Here is a 23168-nt window from a genome sequence, read left to right as displayed (position 1 = left end):
AAATTAGTTGGGCATGGTGGCATGCACCTGTAGTCCCACATACTTGGGAGGCTGAGGTGGGAGGATTACTTGAGCCCAGGAGGTTGAGGCTGCAGTGAGCTGAGAGTGCATCACTGAACTCCAGCCTGGGCGACAGGGTGAGACCCTGTCTCTAAAATGAAAAGAGAAGAAAGAAATACTTTGTGTGTGTGTGTGTGTGTGTGTGTGTGTGTAAAACAAATAGATATATATTTCATATACAGACAGACACACACACACACATGGACAGGATAGACCAGGAGGGGTGGGGAGGGGGAACACACCAATTGCTGTATCATCCTAGTGGCACGATGAAGGTATGAACCAAGTGCTACGAGAGAAACATAAGAGAGAACAATTCCTTCTAGTGGGAGGAGAGAGAGACAGCCTCACAGCAGAAGCAGAAATTGAGCTGGGTCTGATAGCATGAGTCAGAGTCTCCCAGGCAGAGAAGGGGAGTGAGAAGGCCGCCATGGACAGGCGGATGGGGCAGGGACACGGCAGCAAGCCCAGCAGTATGGCTGTGCAGGTGGACTCAGAGAACCCTGGGTATGGTGGAGGAGGCTGAGGGGCGGGCAGCACAGGACAGAGGAGTGCTGGGGCCATGAAAAATCTCAGGGCTACAGAGGAAAGTTAAGTCCTTCAAACCATGAAGGGTCCTGAATGTCACACGAAGGAATTTTGATTTTTACATATTAGGCAAAAGGAACTCATTGATGCTCCCTCATTAAGGGAGTAACAGATTCCTGGCTGGACAAGAAAAGATCAGTTGGGGGAGGCTGAAACCGTCCAGGGAAGAGATGTTAAGACCTGAACCAGGACAGTGATGAATGGAATGGAAAATAAGGAGTTAGTCAGGGGAAAGGAAGCAGGGCTTCGGTGAAAGCAAAATCAGTAATAAGGCTTGATAATCACTTAGAGATAGACGGATAGAGAGAAGCAGCAGAAATGATGACTTCTGGGTTTGTCTTAAATCCAGTAGGTTTGTGGGGATGTTAATCAGGAAAAGGAAAACCAGAGTGAGAACAGGGTTTGTTTGTGGGTACCCCAGGTGCACAAGAAGCCTAGATTATGGAGACTGGTTGAAAGCATTTCCACCCCTCCTCCAATCCCTAAGAGCAAATTCATGTGGAAGGAAGTGAATATTCAGCAGCAGGATTGTTTGGTAAAGAGTCCTCAAGGTCGGCAGGAACATGGCCATGTACTGATAAAGCTGTCTGTAAATAAAAGGCAGTGCTCTCTTAAAAAAACCCGCTTCCCAGCACAAGCACCTGGTTGTCCTGTTGCCACCCATACCCCAGGGCACTGTTACAGAGGGAGGGTGGCATTGCTAGCCTCACAGGCACAGTCTAGACTGGACAGAGCAACAGCTTGGCCTTTTGGGTGAGACATTTACACTTTGGTTTTTAAAGGAACAATATGCTCAGAGGCAACCCACATAGGCTGATCAGTGACAAGGAGGCTGCAGGTCACGGGGGGGATGCTAGGTGGCCTGGAGCTTTGTGGTTAACTGCCATTGTGGGAGGCTGCCATGGCCTTGGGCCGCCTGGAGCCCCCCTCGCTGTGGCGTCTCCTCAGTGGCTGCAGCTGACTGCTCTTTCTGGAGTGCCATATTCACTGTGGGTTGTGTCAGGGCACTCGAGGTTCTATTTTCTTGCCTCAGTGTGAGAATCAAGGTCTGTTGGCCTGCATGGCCCAAGGCAAAAGGTTGGTCTCTGTCCAGCCTGGATCACGTTGCTGGCTTGGAGGAGGTAGGTGATGACAGAACTGGCATGACTGGTTTCCACACGCTGTCCTGTGAGTTGATACAGCCTGGCCATACAGGTCTTACAGAAAATGGCCACTAGAAAATGCCCAGGAATGGAAACCAAGTCTGGTATTCCAGGAATCCCCAATAAGTGTGGTTAAAGCAGCAAAGCTTTCATGGCACAGATCAATGGAACATAGAACAGACTTCTCTGCTCTTAGTAGCAGCCTCCCCGGGTGTCAGGGGCATAAGGCAAAGGCATGCTGAGTACCTGTGCACCCACTTCAGCGAAGCAAGCTTTCTGTGTCTCTAACCCAAACCCAGTCCTGGCTCCAAATCAGCCCTTCTCCACGCAGAATCCCATGTCCCATATAAGTGACTGTTTTCAGTGGGCTGATTTGTGGAAGCTGCTTCCTCCCCTGGCCCCACCACATAAATACAATATGAGCACAGCCAGTTTAACCTACAAAAGGTTGCAATCGTAGCAGCGCAGGACGGGAGCAGGGGTGAGGATGATCGTGGTCCTGCCCAGTGAAGGAGGCCACCACTCTCAGTTCTTCCACAAGTGTTTTCTGACTTGGGAGGCACTATAAGGCCTGGGTGCCTGGCTCCTCTGGGACTGCGGGCACACAGTAGAGAGGCGCCTGGCTGAGGTTAGACACACTAGTCTGCAGCCCCAGGAGAGAGCACGGCCGGGGGGACAAAGCCCATGAGCCCAGCTTTATCGACACTGTGTCCTAGCCTGACAAGCCAGGCCTGTGTGGACCTGAGCCCAGAACACTATCACTCACATTTCCAAACAAGGTCACTGAGTTTCTGAATTTTCCCGAAGCCAGTATGCCTGCTGAAGTCTTGGAAAGGATCTTCTTGGGCAACAGAAACAAGTGCTAACAGAAATCCAAAACGGTCTCAAGCGTTGACCCGCAGTTGCTTAAGAGCTTGTGACTAATGTCCCAGGTAAGAGGTCTGACTGCTTATTACTCAGCTGCTGTCATGGGCAGCAGGAATCGCGCAGGGAGAGAAAGTGCTGGGCCATCAGTTTTGTCAGTCAACTATTACAATCAGCTCTGCATGGGGAAGTCTTGGGACGCAGCTCTCAGAAGACGCAAGTGGGCAAGACAGGGATGTGACTCATCCTGGTCACAGGATGCCCGAGGCCACAAAGGCAGGTTAGACACCTTAATCCTGATTTCAATCTAATTTTAGGCATTCTCAGAACTGTATGAGCTGTAAAGGAAACGCCATGGCTGTTCTCATACCAAGTGCTATTTAATAAGACAGATCGCTCAAACTGGGATCCCAAGAGGGTTCAATTAAGAGCATAATGTAATTCCAGGCTACCAGTGCTGCCCTCAGCCCAAGTATCTCATACCTGCTCTATGAAGTCTGTCCTGATGTCCCCAGACAGTCATAGCAATATCAACTCTGCTCCTAGGGTGCCCAGTTTATACTTCTATGATAGCATACCCCGCACTGTATTCCAGAAGGCTCTGTCTGTGCACCTGTCTTCCTTCTTAGCAGCTCCAGCATGGTCCTGGCAGGAGGTGCTGACCAAAGGGATAAACAGAAGCATTTCAGATGGACCCCAATGGGACTGCCCTGGCCAACTCAGAGCCTATCTTATTTTTAGGGGATGGAAGGACACTCCATAAACTTTGCTCCAAAGTACTTAAACTTATAAAAAGCCACATGTTTTACCCCTTAAAGATAGACTCAAGAGGGAAAAGAAGAAACCTGAAATCAAAATTTAAATTCTTCTCTTTGATGAAGCTGGAGAAAGAAAGTGGTTTTGAAGGGTCAATTATTAAACAACGAGGACCAAGCAGAACACTTATCCTCATGTTGGCTTGCATCCAAACGGAAGAGCAGAACATGGAGAGGGTGACTCAAACAAAGCCAAAGATTATAGAGCCATTTACAGTCATGGTCAGCTTCCACTCTAAAGGGAAATCATGCCTTTATTTTTTTTAAAGCAAAAGAAGTCACCCTAAGCCTCCTGACTTTAGTTTGAAATATGCAGAGGTCAGTTTTTGGCTTAGGAGTACCTCAGCTTCCTATGCCAACATGTAACTCAGCAGCTGAACTTAACAAGGCTACACAATGAAGATTACAAGTTCATACAGGGCAGAGGCTCAAATACTAAAATGCCAAAACCACAGTTACCGGCTTGCCATTCATTAGCTCATTGAGCACCGGTATTTAATAGCTACAGCTTTTGTCATGCAAGCATAGAAGGGTAGAAAGAGTTATTCTATCCTCTGTGCTTGTCTGAAAGCTACATTGTTCTTGCTGGGTAATCAGGGTTACTTAAAATGCCCACAGTAGTTTCAGAGAGAATTCCCAAGTGATTGAAGACAAAGGAGATTCAGAAATTGGATTTATTTTGTTTCCACCATAAGCTATCCTGAGAGTAATAAAACAGATTGACATGAGTCTTACTGCTTAGATCACTAGAGTCAGTTACTCTTCCAAAAGAAATAAAGGAAAGCGAGTTGAGAGCTGGCTCCTTGAACAAGAATGAATCTAGGAGGCTATTTATATGAACTATTTTTAACATATTTTTCAACTTTTATTATGGGAAATTTCAAAACAGACAAAAGTAGGGAGAATGACACAACTCCCATACTGATCACACAGCCTCGGCACCTGCCAATGCACGTCCAAACATGCTCCCTCGCTACATCGACTCCCTCCCTCCCTGATCCATCTTTTATCAGATTATTTTGAAACAAATCCAGGATATGAGCTATTTCATCTATACACATTTTAATATCTGAATCTCAAAGATAATAATTCTTTAATAGAGTACAACTTTGATACCCATTATCATAAAATACACAGTCAATTTATGATTGTCAGCATACTGCCATTTGTCTGTTGCTCATTTGGGGGTGGTGAGTCTGTGGGTCTGTCTAGAAAACCTGGAAAAAAGCTTTTGTGAATAACAAGAATAACAGTGTCTTCAGTGGTTAACATATACTGAATGTTCATCAAATGCTAAGTGCTTTATCTATATTCTTATTTTATCCTCAAAATAACTCTATGAAGTAGGCTCTACCCCAAGATTATATAGCTAGACAGGGGTAAAATCAGGATTCAGATTTACTTCTGCTCACCTCCAAGGCCTGGGCTTGTGACTTACTACACCAGGCCCAATCCCTTCTATGTAGCAGTGTCACCGGCCAATCCCCCGGATAGATTGTTTCCCAAAAGGACTTTAATTGAAACAAGAACCACCTGAGGGAATCAATAAATATTCTAAGATGGCACTATGATAGAGGGATGTTTTATGCATATTACTATGAAATGCATAATCGAAATACTGCAAAGCAAGGTTTTTTTCTTAGCTTGTGCATAGAGTTCAATGGATTTTACAGAGTCCTTGAGGATACAGGCATAGGGGAGTGCACAGCAAATCTCTCAAGTGGTCAAATGTGCAGATCATTTGCTGCCTTCCACTGAGGAGGAGGAACTAGCATGTAGGTAAGTGTGAAAAGGGGGCATCTGCCAAGTGAGTGAATGTGGGTTATGGTCTTAATTTTAGAATAAAACTACTTAGGACTGGCTTGTGTTTTGAGTGCCTGGGTTTATACTTAAAGTTTTTTCAAAGCAAGATGGATTGTATTAAATGGGCAAAAGACTTTTGAAAAGTCACTGAATTAGCAAAAGCATAACATTTGGTTTCATCGTGAGTTAGACAGTAGTGCCATTCATGCATCACCTGACACGAGATATCCATCCCTTCACCCACCCAACCATTCTTTAGTATTGTCCATGAGCCTGGCCATATGCCAGGATGTTGGGATACAATAGTAAGCAAAGGGGGCACCATCTCTACCCACAAGGGGGTTAATGTCTGGTGGGAGAAGCAGACAGATCACCACACAACTAAATTTACAATTATCAACTGTGATGAGTGCAATGAGGAGAAAACATGGGAATAGATCAAGGGATGGCCTGACCTAGCACTGGGGGAAGATTTCCCAGGAAAGTGACATTTGAACTGAGCTGTGAAGATTATTAACCAAGTGAAGAGACAGAAAGAAGGGAAAGTGAGGGTAAGGAGAATTTCAGAAGGAAGGAACAGAGGTGAGGGGGTTCAGTCAAGAAATGAAGACTAGTGTGGTTGGAGTCCTGGGTGGCGAGAGAAGAGAGCATGGAGACAGGAGAGAGCAGGGACCAGATGAGGCAGGGGCCAGTGAGGATTTCAGTCTTTAGCCCAATAAACCATGGAAAACTCTGACTCAGGAGAGGGATGGCATTAGATTTTCGATTTTACAGGACTCCATATCAGAGGAGTTGAGAATGAACATGAGGAGATCATTTGGGAAGCTACTAGAGTATCCAGGAGATAAATGATGGTGGCCTGGTATAGGGAGGGTGGTAAGGTAAAGAGAACTAGATGTGTCAAGAACTACTGGGGGAAAGCAATGGGATTTAGCAATGGAAGGATGTAAAGGATAAAGGGAAGGAGGCATCAGCAGGTTCTGGATCACAGAATTTATTTTGGACAGATTGAGCTACTTTTTTTAGACATACAGGTGGAGATATTTAAGCAGCTGAATACACATGGCTAGATGTCAAAGGGAAGGCTGGTTCGGAGCTATAAATTTGAGAGTCATTACCTGGGTGTGGATGAGTTCACCTCAGGAGAAGGAATGAAATAAGGAGAGAGCCTGGGACTGAGCCTTGGGAAGAGGATCTCCTGAGGCCAAGATCTCTGCTCTTTTTTACACTGAGACTACAAAAACTAGTGACAAATTATACTTAGAGTAGGGTAGCAGAGCTGTGTGCCTAGAGAGTGGGGCCCAAATCTTTTGCCTCCATATGGGCCACCTATAGTCCAGGTAAGCTTTAAAAAGATTAAGGCCGGGCACAGTGGCTTACGCCTGAATCCCAGCCCTTTGGGAGGCCGAAGCGGGAAGATCACTTGAGCCTGGGAGGTCAAGGCTGCAGTGAGCCATGATCACACCATTGCACTCCAGCCTGGGCAACAGAGTGAAACTCTATCTTAAAAAAAAAAAATTAATAAAATAAAATAAAAAGATTAGAAAAACATCAATCTTGTACATTCAGAATCACCCAATGGATTATTTTCAGGTTAAATTCTCAATCTCTGCTATGTGATATGATACTCTTGTGAGTGTAAAATTAAGAATCTTATTTTACAAAGATATTGGTTGCTGCATCATATATAATTTGAAAAAAAGCTAAATTATGTATCAACCGTGGAATGGCTAAATAAATAATGGTATTTCTATGACAGAATCTTATGAAAGCTGCCAAATTTTTATGAAGGACTAAAAATGTAAGGAAATGTTTATAATAGAATTTTTAAATGTTATCTGAAAATGTTTTTTTGATTATAAAAGTAATATTTTCATTATATAAAATTGATCATTCCTGAAAAAGGTATAGAGAAAATGATGATGGGTTCAGTCTTTCAAACTTTTCTTCTCAATGCTACACTAACACAATATTATACAGTAAAATACTTTTCTCAACAATTGTCTTGGACATATTTATATCTCCTATGCCTCTGGCTCATTCTCTATAATGGTTGCATACAATTCCACTGTAAAAATCTACCACAATTTAACCAGTTCCTCTACATAAACATTTGGGTTGTTTTAAATTTTTTGCAACTTCAAACAATGGAGTAATGAACATGATTTGCACACTTGTGGGAGTGTTTATTTAGGATACATTTTTTTAGAAGTAGAAATGCCATATCAAAGGGCATAAATATTTTAAATTTAAACAGATGTAGAGAAACTGTTTTCCAAAAGGGTTGCATCAATTTATATTCCCACCAGTAGCACATGAAAGTGTCAATGTTTTGGCTTCCTTGTTCAGGCTAGATGGAATCATCCTTCTAATTCTTGCCAAACCGCCAGTGAAAAATGAGCTCATTGTTTCAACTTCATTTCTTGACTATTAATGAGATTAAGCTTTAAGAAGAATATATGTTTAATGGCCATTTGAATTTTTTCTTGCCTATTCACATGGTTTAACCATTTAAAAACTTGAGTTGTTTATCTTTTTGATTTTTTTAAGAAGCTCATATTATGGGATAGTAATAATTTTTTATATTGGTTCTATGGGTTGTAAATATTATCGCCTGGTTGAAGTTTTGTTTTGATATAGTCCAGTTATCAATCTTTCCTTCACAGCTTCTGGGTTTCATGACTTACTTATAGGCTCATACAATTCTAAGTGAAAGAACAGGATACAAAATTATATTTTCAATATTCTCTTAATTTGTTACAATTGTGACAGAGAGGGATAAAGAAAAGGAGGAAAGACAGGAGGAAAAAGGAGGAAAGACAGGAGGAAAAAAGGAGATGAGGAAAAACATAAAAGTCTATTTCCAGGTGATATGTTTATGGGTGATTTTTATTTTCTGTTTTGGATTTTCTAAATTTCCTACAGGAATCATGTATTACTTTGTTAACCAGGAAAAAGTCATTAAAATGTGTTTACATATTCTAGCTTTAATCTTTCTTTCTTTTTTTTTTTTTTTTGGTTTCTGTAGTATTTAAGGCCATAATTCCCAAGGAAGATGTGCAGGGAAAAGGACCCATTGGTCAGAGTGCAAAGGATTTCTTTTGGAACCCAGGCTCCAAGGGAATGTTGGAAAAAAACATCCTGTTTGCTTAGAGAACCTGCACATTTGTAGACTTAGAATTGAACTTGTTGCCATCAGCTCATTTTTTTTTTTTTTTACCACAGAAATTACTTAATGTCTACTAAGTGTCTATGATTGTCGTGGATGGCATTTATATTTTCAATAGCCCCACAATGTGTCCCTGAAGTCTGAATGAACTTAAGTATGAAAATGAATTTCCTACTAAAAGCAGCAGCATTCCTAATTATTAAATGAGGTCCCTATGCCATTTCTCCTCACAGACACTTAATCTGGTGTTCCTGAGGCTGACCTATTGGAATATCTTGCTGAAGACCACGTATACAAGATGTGAACATTCATCATTATGAGGCTGAATGTAAAATACTTCATTTTATAATGAAGAAAGTCAGTAAAACAATTTCCAGCCCAGAAAGTGTTGCCAAGGCTCTTCTGAGGCTCTTCCCCACTACCCCCTCATACCTCCTCCCAGCAGCTACCTGGGATGAGAAATGACAAAAATGACTCCTATTTGAATCTGGTTACTTCACCCTCTTTAAAACAGGGCCAGGGTGGGAGGATTGCTTGAGCCTAGGAGATTGGGACCATCCCAGGCAACATAGTGAGACCCTGTCTCTACAAAAATTTTATTTATTCATTCATTCATTCATTCATTCATTCATTCATTCATTCATTCATAATCTCATTCTGTAGCCCAGGCTGGAGTGCAGCAGCGTGATCATAGCTCACTGCAGCCACGACCGTCTGGGCCCAAGCGATCCTCTCACCTCGGCCTCCAAGTAGTTGGCACTCCAGGCACACATCACCACACCCGGCTAATCTTTAAATTTTTTGTAGAGATAGGGTATTGCTATATTGCCCAGGCTGGTCCCAAACTCTTAGGCTCAAGTGATCCTCCCTCCTCAGCCTTCCAAAGAGCTGGGATTGCAGGTGTGAGCCATTGTGTCCAGCTATACAAAATTTTTTAAAAAACTTAGCCAGGTATGGTGGCACACTCCTGTAGGTCCAGCTACTTGGGAGGCTGGGGTGAGAGGATTGCTTGAGCCCAGGGGTTGGAGGCTACACTGAGCTATGATTGTGCTACTGCACTCCAGCATGGGCAACAGAGCAAGATCCTGTCTCAAAAAACAATAATGAAACAAAGAAACAAACAAACAGGGCACAGACTCACAAACTAATTCCCATAGACTAGGTGTTGGTCTTCATCCTGTTCTGGGTGTTTGATGCCCTTGACATGTAGGCAGTGTGTTCCCACCATCACCACTGCAGATACACAGGACCAACTTAAGTTGAGCAAAGGGACTCAGAGATTTCCCCTCACTTTGTCTCACGGTAGAAAAAAATACCCAAAAAACCCCATTCGCTGACTCTCTGGACAAATACAAGAGGAAATGAGTTTGATAAACATCCTCAGTGTACCAATCATACATCTCCTTAGGACCATCAAATAAATGAGCCATCAAACTGACAGCTGAGCCTCATAATTTTTTTTCTTTTTCTTTTTCTTTTTTTTTTTTGCATTCCACATCCCCTATCACTATCCCACCCAGGAGAGCTGAAATTCCCTGGCTGAAGCGGTGCAAATTTATTTAGCAGCTCCTGATAGTACTTTTATTTTATGGTTGCCAAGAAAACTTCTCTCACCGACTCTCCTTGCCAAAATGCTCAGACATGATACCTGGCAGCGGGTCAGCTTATAGATGCACTTAGTGATGAAACACAAGAAGGCCAGAAGTCTTCAGGCAAAGACACCAGGAGACAACAGACCTTTGGTGGCTAAGGGTCTCCTGACCATAGCGCCTTGCTCTGATAGCACAGACTGGATGCTGCGGCCAACAGTACACTTGGACCTGACAGTCCAAAGGGCATAAAACAGCCAACAAGCCAAGTCTCTTCCCCAGTGCAGACAGCCAAGTGCAGCTGACCCACAGAAACCACTGGGTCGGCTTTGCTTCCTGGAGGCAGAATCCAACAAGGAAATGAAGGTTTTCTGATAGCCAGTCACTCAAGGGCAGGAGGACAAACAGGATCAAAGAGCCATGGCAGATTCTGAGAGCCACCAGCCAGGAACAGGATAGGTATGAAGGACCCCTTACTGGCTGGCTGCCTGCAGGGCATGTGCATGAAGATGACAGAATGGTTTTGAATGAGGAGAAATCAGAACTCAATTCCCTCTTTAACATTAATATCTTAATCACAACCAGGGGTGGCTGTGGCACAGAATAAGCATGGGCAAGGACAGATGGGTCCTGCTAGCTTTATGTTGGACACATGGCATGAAGACCAACAAACGAGTTCATAGAGTGAAACTATTAAATGTTCTAGGGCACACAGTGCTAGGTAAATGCTAGCCATTATCAGCACTGTCACTGTGGCTGTTATTAAATGGATAATGCTATGGCTCTCATCCTCAGGAAGGTAAGCCAGACACCCGAGCTGTCATACAAATACACAGAGCAAAGAGTAATCAGACGTCTTAGCCTGTCTACCCATCCTGGTCCCCTCTAATGGAAACAGTGCTATTCTTACTAGAGGAACACAGACCCTATCAGCACTGAAGCTAGTTCCTCGAAGACATTCGATTGTCAGAAAATAGCAATGTCCTTGCTTTGCCAGCGTTGGAACTTTTCTTCGACTTGGGAAAAGCAAGCAGTGAAAGTTGCAGCCATTTGCTGTCCCAGTGCACGGCCTTGCATAAAGTGTGAAAAGGGAGGTGGTGATGAGGAATGCTTTACGACAGGAAAGAGAAGAATTTACGGGACCAGCCTCAGGAGGGATGTGCAGGCTGCTTTTGGCAATTGGCTATATGCAAACTGTTGCCAGCATTAGTAATGCCTTACACAGTATCAGAGGGGAGGCAGCCTGCCCACTAGAATCAGTACTGTGGCCACCTCAGCAGGTCTCATCTGGTTCCCTGCTATCCCCATTAGAGATTAAACCTGAGCCATCTAAACACAAACCTCTGAAAAACACAAGAAGACACTTGCACTTCAGAACCACTCACAGGCTCTTGGAATTAAAAACATACCTCACATTTTACTTTTAGATTATAGATGATATTGCTTGGTTCTCTAATTATGTTTTGCATAAAAGGCTTTGTTTCTCCCAACTGGATTACAAACTCTAAGGTCAGGTCTGGAATATTTCTCATATTATCTCTAGAATGTCAATCACGGGCTAGACACAAGACGGCAACACACACAGTAAAGTTCAGGGAATTTTACTGATTTCCTACCAATACTGGACTCACATCATAGTAACATGTGCAAAAGACATCACATTTTCCCCTAAGAAATTTCCCTTGGGAGAACTCACTGGTACTTCTTGAGCACTCACTCCGGCCCCAGCACTTGGTTTTGCAACCAAAGGGCCCAGTTTTCCCAAATAGCCATTTAGTTGTTTTCTTTAAGTACTTACACGTGGAGACACTGTCTGAAGAATGTTTCTAATTTTGTGTCATAGCATTCTTAATAAAAGTCATTATTAAATGTGCAAGTGTGAGTCATTATAACTTCCTAAGATCTTAAAAGTAAACAGAATTCAAAAACCAGGAAAAATTTATTTTTTAGCCTATGTGTGTTACTTTTAGTTTAAAAAGTGTCACCACCATACATGCTAGCAAAAGTAGCAGATGACTGGACTAACATTCTTCTTGCCTAAATGCTGGACTAATCTTGACCCAATAGTGGCTATTTCAGTTTGGAGCCCTGTGCCATATAGAGAGATGAGCCAAGGACAACTTCCCAACCATGCTTTTACAGTTGCCTCCCTCAATCTGCTTCCCTCCCCTACCCAAGTGGCTTGGGGAGGTCATACCACATCTCATCTGTCTGTCTGATTTCAATGGGCAGCATATTGTGAGGCTACGGGCACAGACTTTAGAGCCTGATTAGCCGAGTTTAGTTTTAGTTTTACTAGCTGTGTGATCTTGGGCAAGTTACTTAACCACTCTGGGCTTATTTCCTCATCAAGAAATGTAGATAACAACAGTTCCTGCCTCATAGAAATGATGAGTTACTTAATGTGAATTAGGTTTAGCATAGCGCCTGGAATGCATTAAGTGCTGTAGAGCCCTTGGCTATTATTTATTCATCAACAAGAAAGATAATATCTACATGGCCTACTGTCATGATTTTTATAAGAATCAACACTGATAAAGAGTAAAAACAAGCTTCGTAAATTCTAGATAACTACTGTAAGCTTTTGCATTTTGGGCAGGTATGCCTACTATTAAGTGACACATCTGGCTTATAAACTGCTCTCTGGGTAATAGAGCCAGGAGCCAAAGCCAGATGGGTCATACAGTGACATGGTCTGGCACCAGTACCTTGGGCAACGAGCAAAATGCCTCCAGAACTGGTTAAACCCAACCAGCCACAACACCGTCGTCTATTGACATCTCCACTAAGACCAAATTCTGATGCATGAAGATACAGGAATTAAGATCTCTGTTTAGTGTCAAGTGCCCAGGTCAGTACAATGACAAAAAGCTGGTTTAAGTTGAGGTTCATTCGGTTCATCCTAGACTGTCAAACGCCACTGAATTCACCACAGGTGACTGGTTCTGCTAGGTAGAATAAGTTGAACGAGGATAAGGGAAGTCACTGAACCCTGTTGCCATCCACACCACCACAGTGGCTGGAGAACTTTATTTCCATTCTGGAGAATTTCAAATCTCCAGAAATAAAACACAAAATTCCCAGGAAGTGAAACAGTATCTGTACTTCACAACGTAATCAAATAAAATTCAACTGTACAGCCAGTCCTTGTTCTTCACCCCCTCCCTGTCTATTGCTTAGGACCCATACCCAACAGCAGATGCTGGTTTGACACTCAGTGGTGTGATAACACCCAGACCATGCAAGGCCACCTGCAGACTTCTTAAATTTTTCACTGTTATAAACAACTCTGTGATAAATGAAGGAATCTTTTTGACATGTCTGAATCTATGAATATTTTTATCATGTATTTTCACAAATAAGCAATCAACTCCAAGTGCCATGTTCACATTTAAGAATTTATATCAATGCCACTGCACTGGTGTTTGCCTTCCTTGGTCATGGGGACCAAAAGAGGCAGGCAGAGAGAACAAATTTCAAAATCCCGTCTGGGCTGTTATATGACTTATTTCTCCACCTAAAATGCAATATCCATGAGGAGACTCATTGCCTTCGTTTCTATATCTTTATATTTCGGGGTTCCCTTCAGTGCCTAACACAGTGCTTTGCAAATACCAGGCCCATAATAAATGGCTATTAATCTGAACAGCAACTCCCTCCCTGACCATTGGGTTTGGCCAGGTTCCCAGGAGACCGCAGTGAGGAAGGATTAGGGAGGATGTGGGGGGAGCTGGGTGGATTCTGGTTTGTGCTGGGACCCTGGGACCCATCTGGGACCTCTACAGCCAACGTGAAGCTGCTATTGCCTGCAGAGGTCCCCTGTCTTGGGGATGACCTAAGACCAGGACAGCATACTCTGTGGCTCTCAAGTCCACCCCAGACCAGGCGTCAATCCTTCAAGACCAGTCTAGAACCAAACTGATTCCAAGAGATAACAATTTGCCCTGCTTGGTGACTGCCTGCTCATGTTTGGCTTATAGATGAGAAAAACCTTTGTTCCTTTTTTTTTTTTTTTTTTTAAAGGAGAAGAGTATTAAAAATTCCACTGACTGCCCAAACAGGATTTACATGAATTTAACTGGCTACTGCAGGACACAGTGAACTCTTGGAGTGGCTTCTGTCATTAAGACAGGGTCCGTGAGCAGACGGGTCAGCCAGGTTGGGCAGCAGGCTGGTGTCCTGGTATCCCCGGCATGTTCTGATGGACACAGATTCTTCCCTTTCTTCAGAGGCAGTAGGCGTGGGTGAAGCAGGGTAGGCAGGCTGGAATGCTGGTGCTATCTGGTGACTGTTCAGGTGAGTTAGTCAAAGGACAAGAAGAAGAACTGTCTCGAGTTAGAAAGCAGGGACTCTGGTCTTAGCTCTGTCACCTTTCTGGGCCTCAGTTTCCTCATCTGTAAAACGATGGGATGGGACACGATGATATTCCCTCCACATTTCTCACATCAGTCAATCACTATATCCTCACATATGTCCTCCTCTGCCCAGGGCAATGCTACTCAAAGTGTGGTCCACAAACTGCCGCTCATCTGCAAACTGGCGCTGACCCATGGTGAGGTAAAAGTAGAGGCACAGAGTTTTTCGAAACTATTTGACAGTATGACAAACTATCATACTGTCATACTACATGACAATATAAGTCCGCTGAATCTAATAATAAAAATGTGGTCTTCTGTTTTATATGTATTTGGAAATTTCATTTTTCTAGTAATTTACTTTTAATACATTTTATAAAAAGTATTGGTCCTAAACGGACTGAAAAAGGAAAAATTAAAACACATTGATTTATCACCACAGATAAATGGAAGAGCTCATTTCTCTCCTGGGCTGACTTTTTCACTCTTAACTGAAGCTTCTCTGTCTCCAAAGCCTCTGCATCCCTTCCTAGGCCAAGTTTGGTGTCTCTCCGCCTGTGCTCCAATGGTGTTTGGTACACACTTCTAATGACAGCATTTCTTGCACTGATTGCATCTGTTGGTTTCCCTGCAGATCTTCTCCATGCTTATTTCAGCTCTCTAGCCCCAGAACAAGGTACCTGGCACAAGGCTGGGTAGCCAATTAAGTACTAACTGAACTGAACAAGCTCTGAGTTTCTTACCTTAAACTTTGGTTGCATTCCCTTTATTCATACACCCCTTGAGTGTAAAGTGTAAAGTTCTGCGCGTGGTGGATGCTAAGGAACTGAGGAAGCAATGGTGAGAACTGCTTTCTGCATCTGGTGGTAAATCTTTTATGCTACCAATCCCATTGCGCTGTTCCTTTTCCAGCTCTCAGTCTGATCCTACTGTTACTGTAAGTGTCAGCTTGGGCAACACAGTGAGACCCTGTCTCTATAAAATTTTTTTTAAAACTAGCTGGGTGTGGTGGTGTGTACCTGTAGTCCCAGCTACTTGGGAGACTGAGGTGGAAGGATCACGTGAATCCAGGAGTTTGAGGATATGATCATGCCACTGCACTCCAGCCTGGGGGACAGAACAGGATCCATGTCTCCAAATAAATGAACAAACAAACTTATTTAAAAAACCCCCAAAACAAAGAAAATTGGGCTTGTAGGTACAAAAGCCAGTGACTAATGTGTGTGGCTGGTGATTAAAAATCCTTACAAACCAGACAAGACAAATCACTCCTGTATATCTTGTGTAAAATTAAAAGGTCAGCCAGGAAGAAAAGGAATGATGAAATTTCTTAAGTTCTTCATCAAGCTGAAAAGCTCATTTGATGCTTTGGGTATTTTTTAAAAAGGCATTTCATGGAAAACTCCCAAACCAGAAGAGATGGAATATTACATAGGAAACCATTTAAAAGCTCAGAAAATCCTTTAAGTCCAAATCAAAGAATGCAATTCCCATCATATGGAACTCATTTCTTTTTGAAAGTCAGTAAGTCAAAAATTTTTTACTAGGAATCGGCTGGTTCCCTCTGCATTTTTTCCAGAGAAGGCAGTTTGGGAACACAGTTCCAGAACCTCAGCCTCATGAGTTCTACTCCTGGATTTTCCTGGATTTTCTCTCTGAGGCTGTGGAAAAATTCTCTTTCTCTCTCTGCTTCTGAGCCCTGCTTTAAAAAAAAAAAAAAAAAAAAAAAGGGTCATGTGATCATCTGCCCAGTTTCAGGATGTAGTATATGAAATCCTGTCCTCAGAGCTCCCTGAGTGCTTCTGATCCCCAGAGCCAGACAGCCTATGCTCACGTAGAGTTTGTAGAACACAAGAAAGCACCACAGACATGACAAGTGATATATTTTCCCATTAGAAAAGGAACTCTATTCCTCAAATTAAGAAACAGAATCAACTGATGAAAAAAATTTACCAAAATTCAAGATCTGAAAAACATGAATTATTTGAAAGTAGAACATTTTACCTGTCTGATCTAGGTAATAAACAAGCTAGAGTTCCAGCCACTCAGATAAAAACTGCAGTTACACTCTGAGTTTTACAGCCTTTCCACACAATGTTCTATCCACCCACAGAGTCGGGATCCCGTTGACACAGAAGTGAACTTGAAGTTTTTGATCTGGGTTGCGTGACAGATTCCTGACTAGAAAGGTGGTGCTATCTCTCCTCCTGTAACTTTCCACTGATGCAAAGGAGGTCACAAGCGCCAGGAAGCAGCAATGACAAGCATGTGTGGGCAGAGGATCATGTGCCAAGGCAGGGCACAAGCCTTCTCTTCCACAAGAAGCATTTATGCCATCTTATTGGCACACATCGGGGAGGCTGTGCGCCTTTGTAGTTTATGCCATAAAGGAGCCAAGCCTCCAAGCTATAGCTCTGGGGATGCCTTTTCTTTCTTATATGGTTCAGGAGGCAAGGAGCGTTCTTCACCCTGCCAGGCCCTCAGAGGTGAGGACTTGAGCCATCCGAGAGGCTCTGGCAGTTCTGGGTGGGGGGCTGCCCCAATCTGACTCCTAGCTGGCTGGAGCCAGGTGTGACAGGTGACTTGCCTGGCAGGGTGCCCTTTGCCCTCCTAGGAGCTCCCCAGGCAGGCTCTGCAGTGGGCCTTCTAGAGGAGGCTTTGCAGCAGGTATTCACCCTGGGCCACAGTCACCTGCCAGGCATTGGCTCTCAAGACCAGAACCACAGGTTTAATAATTCTACATCCGAACCAAATGGAGACAGTTAATGATCCCACTTGCTAGTGCCAAGGAAAACTCACCGGCTATGTGAAAAGGAAGAACTGATGGATAATATGAGCAGAGGCTCTACTTGAGTCATTAAACCAAAGTAAGATGAGAGTTCACTGTGTGGTGACTCTATTTTCAGGCAAATTGGAGGCAACTAAACACTTAAATCCTACCTAAGTCTCTCACCACCCCTAAGTGTCTCCTCCGGAGGCTCCTCCTCCTCCACCCTCCCTTATAGGATAGCTGGTTCCCTAAGGTTCTGTTCTTGGCTCTTGCCTGGGTTTACTTCCAGCATTCCTGCCACACCATATGGTACCTTTGTGCACATTAGAAAAAGGTGCCCCTTTCTCAAGACATCTGACTGCCATCTGCCAGAAAATTCAATCATTGCACAAATCTACAATGACTAGGATACGGTGGCACTCCCTAGGGTTGTTCAGGGCCCAATCTGCCCAGTTGTGCACAGTTGCCCTGCTTGACACTTTACCTTGCAGTTGAGTCCCGTGAGTTCAAGTATTCCCTTAGACAGATGGCTCCCCAGTCTAAATCCCTATCCTGACACCTCTCTCCGGAGAGCCAGGCCGCATCTCTAACTGCTTTATGGGCAAAACTACCAGAAGTGTTTCTTTAAACACAAAAAAACAAAAACTAAACTGTACTCTGTTGCTATCCCTACTCAGTTAAAAGCTCCTTCACTGGAAATCTCGGAGTCATCTTTAACGCCTACTCCTTGGTCCCCCAACCACATCATCAGACTCCCTTCGATGTGAATCGCTCCCCCTCCTCTTTTCCTTTCTCTTCCCACCATTACTGGCTTGCCCCAAGCTGTGACTGTTTCTTGCCTGACCTATGAGAAGACCTCCTACTTGAACTCCTGGCTTCCAGGCTTACTCCTCTGTTACTTACTCTAACACACTGCATTTATTTCCCGTTAGTCTCTTCCTCAAAAACCTCTGTTGGCTTCTATTGAAAGGCAAATAAAATAAAGCCCACACTTCCTAGCCCAACATTCAAAACCTTCCAGGTTCTCACCCCCATCTACCTCAGCTGCCAGCTCTGCCCTGCTCCTTCCCAGGCTCTGGTCCTCTGATCATACCGAGTCCTCATGATTCCTTAGCACAGGACGCTTTTCTGCCTCCACGCCTCTGTCCCTGTCGCTATGTCTACCTAGCATGGACTTCCCTGTTTCACTGTTAATGGAAAACTTGCATATCAGAATCAAGTGTCATCTCCTCAAGGCCTCCACTGAACCTCTCCATCAGCATTCATAGTTTGTTTTTGTTTGTTTTGTTTTTTTGAGATGGAGCCTCACTTTGTCACCCAGGATGGAGGGCAGTGACACGATCTTGGCTCACTGCAACCTCTGCCTCCCAGATTCAAGTGATCCTCCTGCCTCAGCCTCCCAAGTAGCTGGGATTAGAGGAACCCACCACCATGCATGGCTAGTTTTTATTTTATTTTATTTTTATTTATTTATTTTTGTATTTTTAGTAGAGACAGAATCTCACCATGTTGGCAGGGCTGGTTTCGAACTCCTGACCTCAAGTGATCTGCCCACGCTGGCCTCCCAAAGTACTGGGATTACAGGCGTGAGCCACCACACCCAGCCAACATTCATAGTTGCCTTTTCTAAGCACCCACTGTATTCTGTTTGCATTTCACTCTGAGCATTTATGGTACCATATCTTACATCGTCAATTTATGTGTGTTTAGAATTCCCAGTAGACTAAATCCTGAGAGCAAAGATTCTGATTTATCTTTTGATCTTCAGAGGTAAACAGCACAAAGCAGATGCCCAGGACCTGTTGAACCTGGTAACTCAATCGTGAAGAAGTCTCCTTCATGGTCAAACAAACCCCATGGATGACTTAACAATGGTCTTTGAGGCTGCATGTTTTCAAAGTGTCAGCCAACAAAGGGCTAATGAGTGTGTTGCGGTATGCCAGTCATAGGGTGAAGGGCATTCTCCAAACTAAAAAAGTCATTTAAGACACAAATACATATTTACGCGTAATTTACAATCTGCATCACATGCAATTCCTGGAAACTGCAAACTCTGGCACCTTGGAGAGGGAATGGCAGGATTCGGGGGCCTCTTTCTAGAGTCCACTTCTATCTCTGCATAGCTCTCCAGACCCTGGACTGGCTCAGATCCAGCACCCAATGCTAACAATGCATTACAGGAATCTGAACATTAATCAGAATAACAGTCACCTTGGAGAAGGTGAGAACATGGATGGGAATCAAATGAGGACAAATGGGATGCATACAATCTAATTGGTAGCACTGTCTTGAGAAAATAACAGAAAAAAACTTGACTCTAGGTTGTGACTGAGTAAAACAGTGTCCTCATGCTTCACTCCTCAAGATACATCTAGAGAGTCAAGAAAGTTAGCAAAAAAAGACCATTTACAACACATGGCCTCATATACAAGATAAACTCAATCATCTTATCCATGTTTTTCATCCTTACCATATGTGATATTGGGACATCCAAACCCACTCCTCTTATCTGAGACCAGATCCCCCAATTTCTGGGAAAGAAATGACCAGGAGCACAAAGATACCCAGATGGAAACTGGGGAGGGGTAGACTGACTGCTTTTCTGACACAGTGGACTTTATACATCCTCCTCCCGCAGAAGACTGACCAGAACATACAAAAGGAAGCGCTTTCAAATTTAACTGATCCTTTTACCCAACTATCAGGACTCTGTCTTGTTTCCCTTTTGCTGTCAGTAAGATGGCCTTAATAATACTGTTAACGAAGCCACCCTCTATCACTGTGCCTAGAGAGGAAACAATTCCTCTATCACTACCTAGAGGGGAACACAACTCTAATCTCTGTATCACTTTGATTCTATGATCTGTGCTGCTCCCTCCCCTTTGATACTTCTGAAACAGGAATGTTCCTTAAAACTAGTGGCTAAAAAAACACTTGCCAGCTGCTAGTACAGTTGTTTTAATCAAATCAGCAATCATGGGCATTTTGTGAGCTGTGGTTTTTTTAAATCAAGGAAATACAGTAGCTTTTATCATGTCAATTGCCATGTCAATTGCCATGTTAAAGGCTGGGGGACCAAAGGGAAGAGGATTTTTAAAAATAACTGCTTTATTAAGGAATAACTGACATACAAAAAGCTGTAGATACTTAATGTATGCAACTTGATGTGTTTGGAGAGGTGTATACCTGTAAAATCATCACTACTGTCAGTGCAATAAACCTGTACATAATCTTCAAAGGTTTCCTCCTGCCTCCTTTGTGTTTTTTTCTTGGTGATAAGAGCACTTAAGATGTACTCTCTTAGCAAAATTTTAAGTATACAGTACAGCATTGTTAATCATAGGTCTTATGTTGTACAGTAGGATTTCCAGAGCTTGTTTATCCTGCATAACTGAAATTTTGTACCCTTTGATCAACATCTTCCCATTTCTCTGTCCCCCAACCACCCTTGGCAACCACCATTCTACTCCCTGCTTCTATGATTTTGACTATTTTAGATTCCATATATGAGTGAGATCATGCAGTATCTGTCTTTCTGGGTCTGCCTTATTTCATTTGGCATAATCTCCTCCAGGCCCATCCACACTGTCCGGAATGATAGGATTTCCTTCTTTTTTAAGGCTGAATAATATTCCATAGCAAATTTTCTTTATCTATTTGTCTGCAGAAGGACATTTAGATTGTTTCCATATTTTGACTATCGTGAATAACGCTGCAATGATCATGAGAGTGCAGACATCTCTGAGATCCAGATTCCAATTCCTTTGGTTATAGATCCAGGAATGGGATTGCTGGGTCATATGATAGTTCTATTTGTAATTTTTTTGAGGAACCTACATATTGTTTTGCTTAGTGGCTGCACCAATTTACATTTCCACCAACAGTGCATAGGGTTCCCTTTTCTCCACACCCTTGCCAACACTTGTCCTCAGGTTTTTGGATAACCATCCTAACACGTATGAGGTGATATTTCATTGTGGTTTTCATTTGCATTTCCCAGATGGTTAGTGATGTTGAGCAACTTTTCATAAACCTACTGGCCATGTGCATATCTTCTTTGGAGAAATGTCTATTCAGGTCCTTTGTCCATTTTAATCAGGTTATTATTATTAGTTTTTGCTATTGGGTTGTATAAGTTGCTTATATGCTTTGGATACTAACCCCTTATCAGATCTGCAACTATTTTCTCCCTTTCCATAGGTTGCCTTTCCATTTTGTCAAGTGTTTCCTGTCCTATGCAGCAGCTTTTTAGTTTGATGTACTCCCTCTCACTTATTTTTGCTTTTGTCAGCTATGCTTTTGGTGTCCAAGGGAAGACGATTTTAGCAGGGCAATTTAGGGCTTAGACATGTGCATTCACCTTCAAAGAAAACAGTCTGTGGTCATTCCATTTGAAGACTCCATTGCCTGAGAAGAGGCTTCATGGATGGCCTCTGCCTGTAGGAGCTTTCTTACTGTTCCACACTATTTCATTACATGCCTGTTCAAGAAGAGCCAGTGACCATAGGGAAGATCAGGCAGCCAGGTCCCTGCTTCTTAGCATTTTTTTCTTTTCTTGGTAGCCTGAGAATAAAGAGCCCCAGGGCAGTTAGTTCAGGGCTGCTTCCATCCTTCATGGAATTCTGAAGAGCAACTTTCTGGAAGAGTGGTAGGGGGAGGGGTTGGGTAAAGAAGAGAAGACGAGCTTTCCAGAGAAACTCATGCGAGAGTCCAGGGGGGTTCACATTTGGTTCAGGAGGGCCAGCATTGCACACTAGAAATAGCCCCCATCCCTGGACTGGCCAGGACATCACTTACCCACCCCCCTGACTTCAATCAGAGCTGGGACTCACAACCCCACTGATGTGAGGCCTGCTTGGTGCACCGAAGTTCCTCCTGCTGACTCACACTGAAGTACCGCCGCAATATGGAGAAATTCCATGACAAAAGAGAGTATTCCTGACATTTTTCCAAGCACTCAGATTTTCCAGTAGATTGCACTGAGCACAGTATTTCTGTCATCCAAACTGCGTAGGAATAGCTCAATGTTTCCAAAGTGAAGTGGAAAAACTCACTGTGGTAGTAAAATTCTAATGCTGCTCTCTTTTTCTCCGAGACCCACAAGGGGACCTATTGAAATGTAAGACTGAACCAGGCCTGGTAGGCATTGATGTGGAACTAAAGTATACCTTGGGGACTCTGGAAAAAGTGAATATGTGACCAGAGCCAAATGCAACCTGGGGACACTTCCTGTGGGTCTGGCCCGGGGCTCCTCACCTTTCTTAACGGAGCTTTAGGTGAATGGATATGCAAGTCCCCTCTGGTTAGAACCATGAGACAGGAGTGTCCCCATTGGCCTCTACTCTGAAGGTATTTGAGTTTGAAACCCCAGATAAAATACTGCTATAGACTGAATGTTTATGTATCCCCAAAATTGGTATGTTGAAACTTAACCTTCAATGTGACTGTATTTGGAAGTGGGTCCTTTGGGAGGTGGCTAGGTCATGAAGGTAAAGCCCTTGTGAATGGGATTAGCGCCCTTAGAAAAGAAATCCGGCTGGGCGTGGTGGCTCATGCTCCTAATCCCAGCACTTTGGCAGGCCAAGGCGGGTGGATCACCTGAGGTCGGGAGTTCGAGATTAGCCTGACCAACATGCAGAAACCCCATCTCTACTAAAAATACAAAATTGGCCAGGCGTGGTGGCACATGCCTGTAATCCCAGCTACTCAGGAGGCTGAGGCAGGAGAATTGCTTGAAGCCGGTAGGTGGAGGTTGCAGTGGGCGATAGAGCAAGACTCCACCTCAAAAAAAAAAAAAAAAAAAAAAAAAAAAAGAAAAGAAAAGAAAAGAAAAGACAAATCCTAGAGAGCTCTCTCACGGCTTCCACCATGTGAAGTCTCAGTGAGAAGGCAGCTATCCGTGAACCAAGAAACAGGCCCTCACCCGACACCAAATCTGCTGGTACCTTGACCTTGCACTTTCCAGCCTTTAGAGCACTGAGAAATAATTTTCTGTTGTTTACAAGCCACCCAA

The 23168-nt window shown here is 43.5% G+C and overlaps 1 protein-coding gene across 8 annotated transcripts in view, besides 3 other annotated features; it reads right to left on the bottom strand.

The window, feature by feature from the left end:
- Positions 1 to 23168, bottom strand: part of PRKCH (protein kinase C eta) — a 363509-nt gene that overhangs the window by 22613 nt on the left and 317728 nt on the right. Inside the window, exon 11 of one of the 8 annotated variants that reach the window (XM_047431586.1) lies at positions 3160 to 3312. The exons of the other annotated variants lie outside the window; for them this stretch is intronic. Within the exon in view, the coding sequence (XP_047287542.1) occupies positions 3219 to 3312 (94 nt within the window). The 3' untranslated portion in view covers positions 3160 to 3218. Of the gene's footprint in view, positions 1 to 3159; positions 3313 to 23168 lie in introns of those variants that run through there. 8 annotated transcript variants of the gene reach the window in all.
- Positions 2847 to 2996: an enhancer, noted in NCBI's record as "active region_8496". NCBI's record gives its function as "activates an Ori minimal core promoter by ATAC-STARR-seq in GM12878 lymphoblastoid cells {active_cell/tissue: GM12878}" and the evidence as "EXISTENCE:reporter gene assay evidence [ECO:0000049][PMID:35858748]".
- Positions 14995 to 15164: an enhancer, noted in NCBI's record as "experimental_34774 CRE fragment used in MPRA reporter constructs". NCBI's record gives its function as "activates a minimal promoter by MPRAs in K562 erythroleukemia cells, with activity observed for both the introgressed and non-introgressed 14:61980003 variant alleles {active_cell/tissue: K562}" and the evidence as "EXISTENCE:reporter gene assay evidence [ECO:0000049][PMID:34662402]".
- Positions 21604 to 22176: an enhancer, noted in NCBI's record as "H3K27ac hESC enhancer chr14:61972906-61973478 (GRCh37/hg19 assembly coordinates)". NCBI's record gives its function as "activates a minimal SCP1, AML or CMV promoter by ChIP-STARR-seq in naive H9 embryonic stem cells {active_cell/tissue: H9 hESC(naive)}" and the evidence as "EXISTENCE:reporter gene assay evidence [ECO:0000049][PMID:30033119]".

This window comes from Homo sapiens, chromosome 14, assembly GCF_000001405.40.
Source record: "Homo sapiens chromosome 14, GRCh38.p14 Primary Assembly".
Classification (NCBI taxonomy): Eukaryota; Metazoa; Chordata; class Mammalia; order Primates; family Hominidae; genus Homo; species Homo sapiens.
This window is presented reverse-complemented; position numbering and strand designations above follow the sequence as displayed.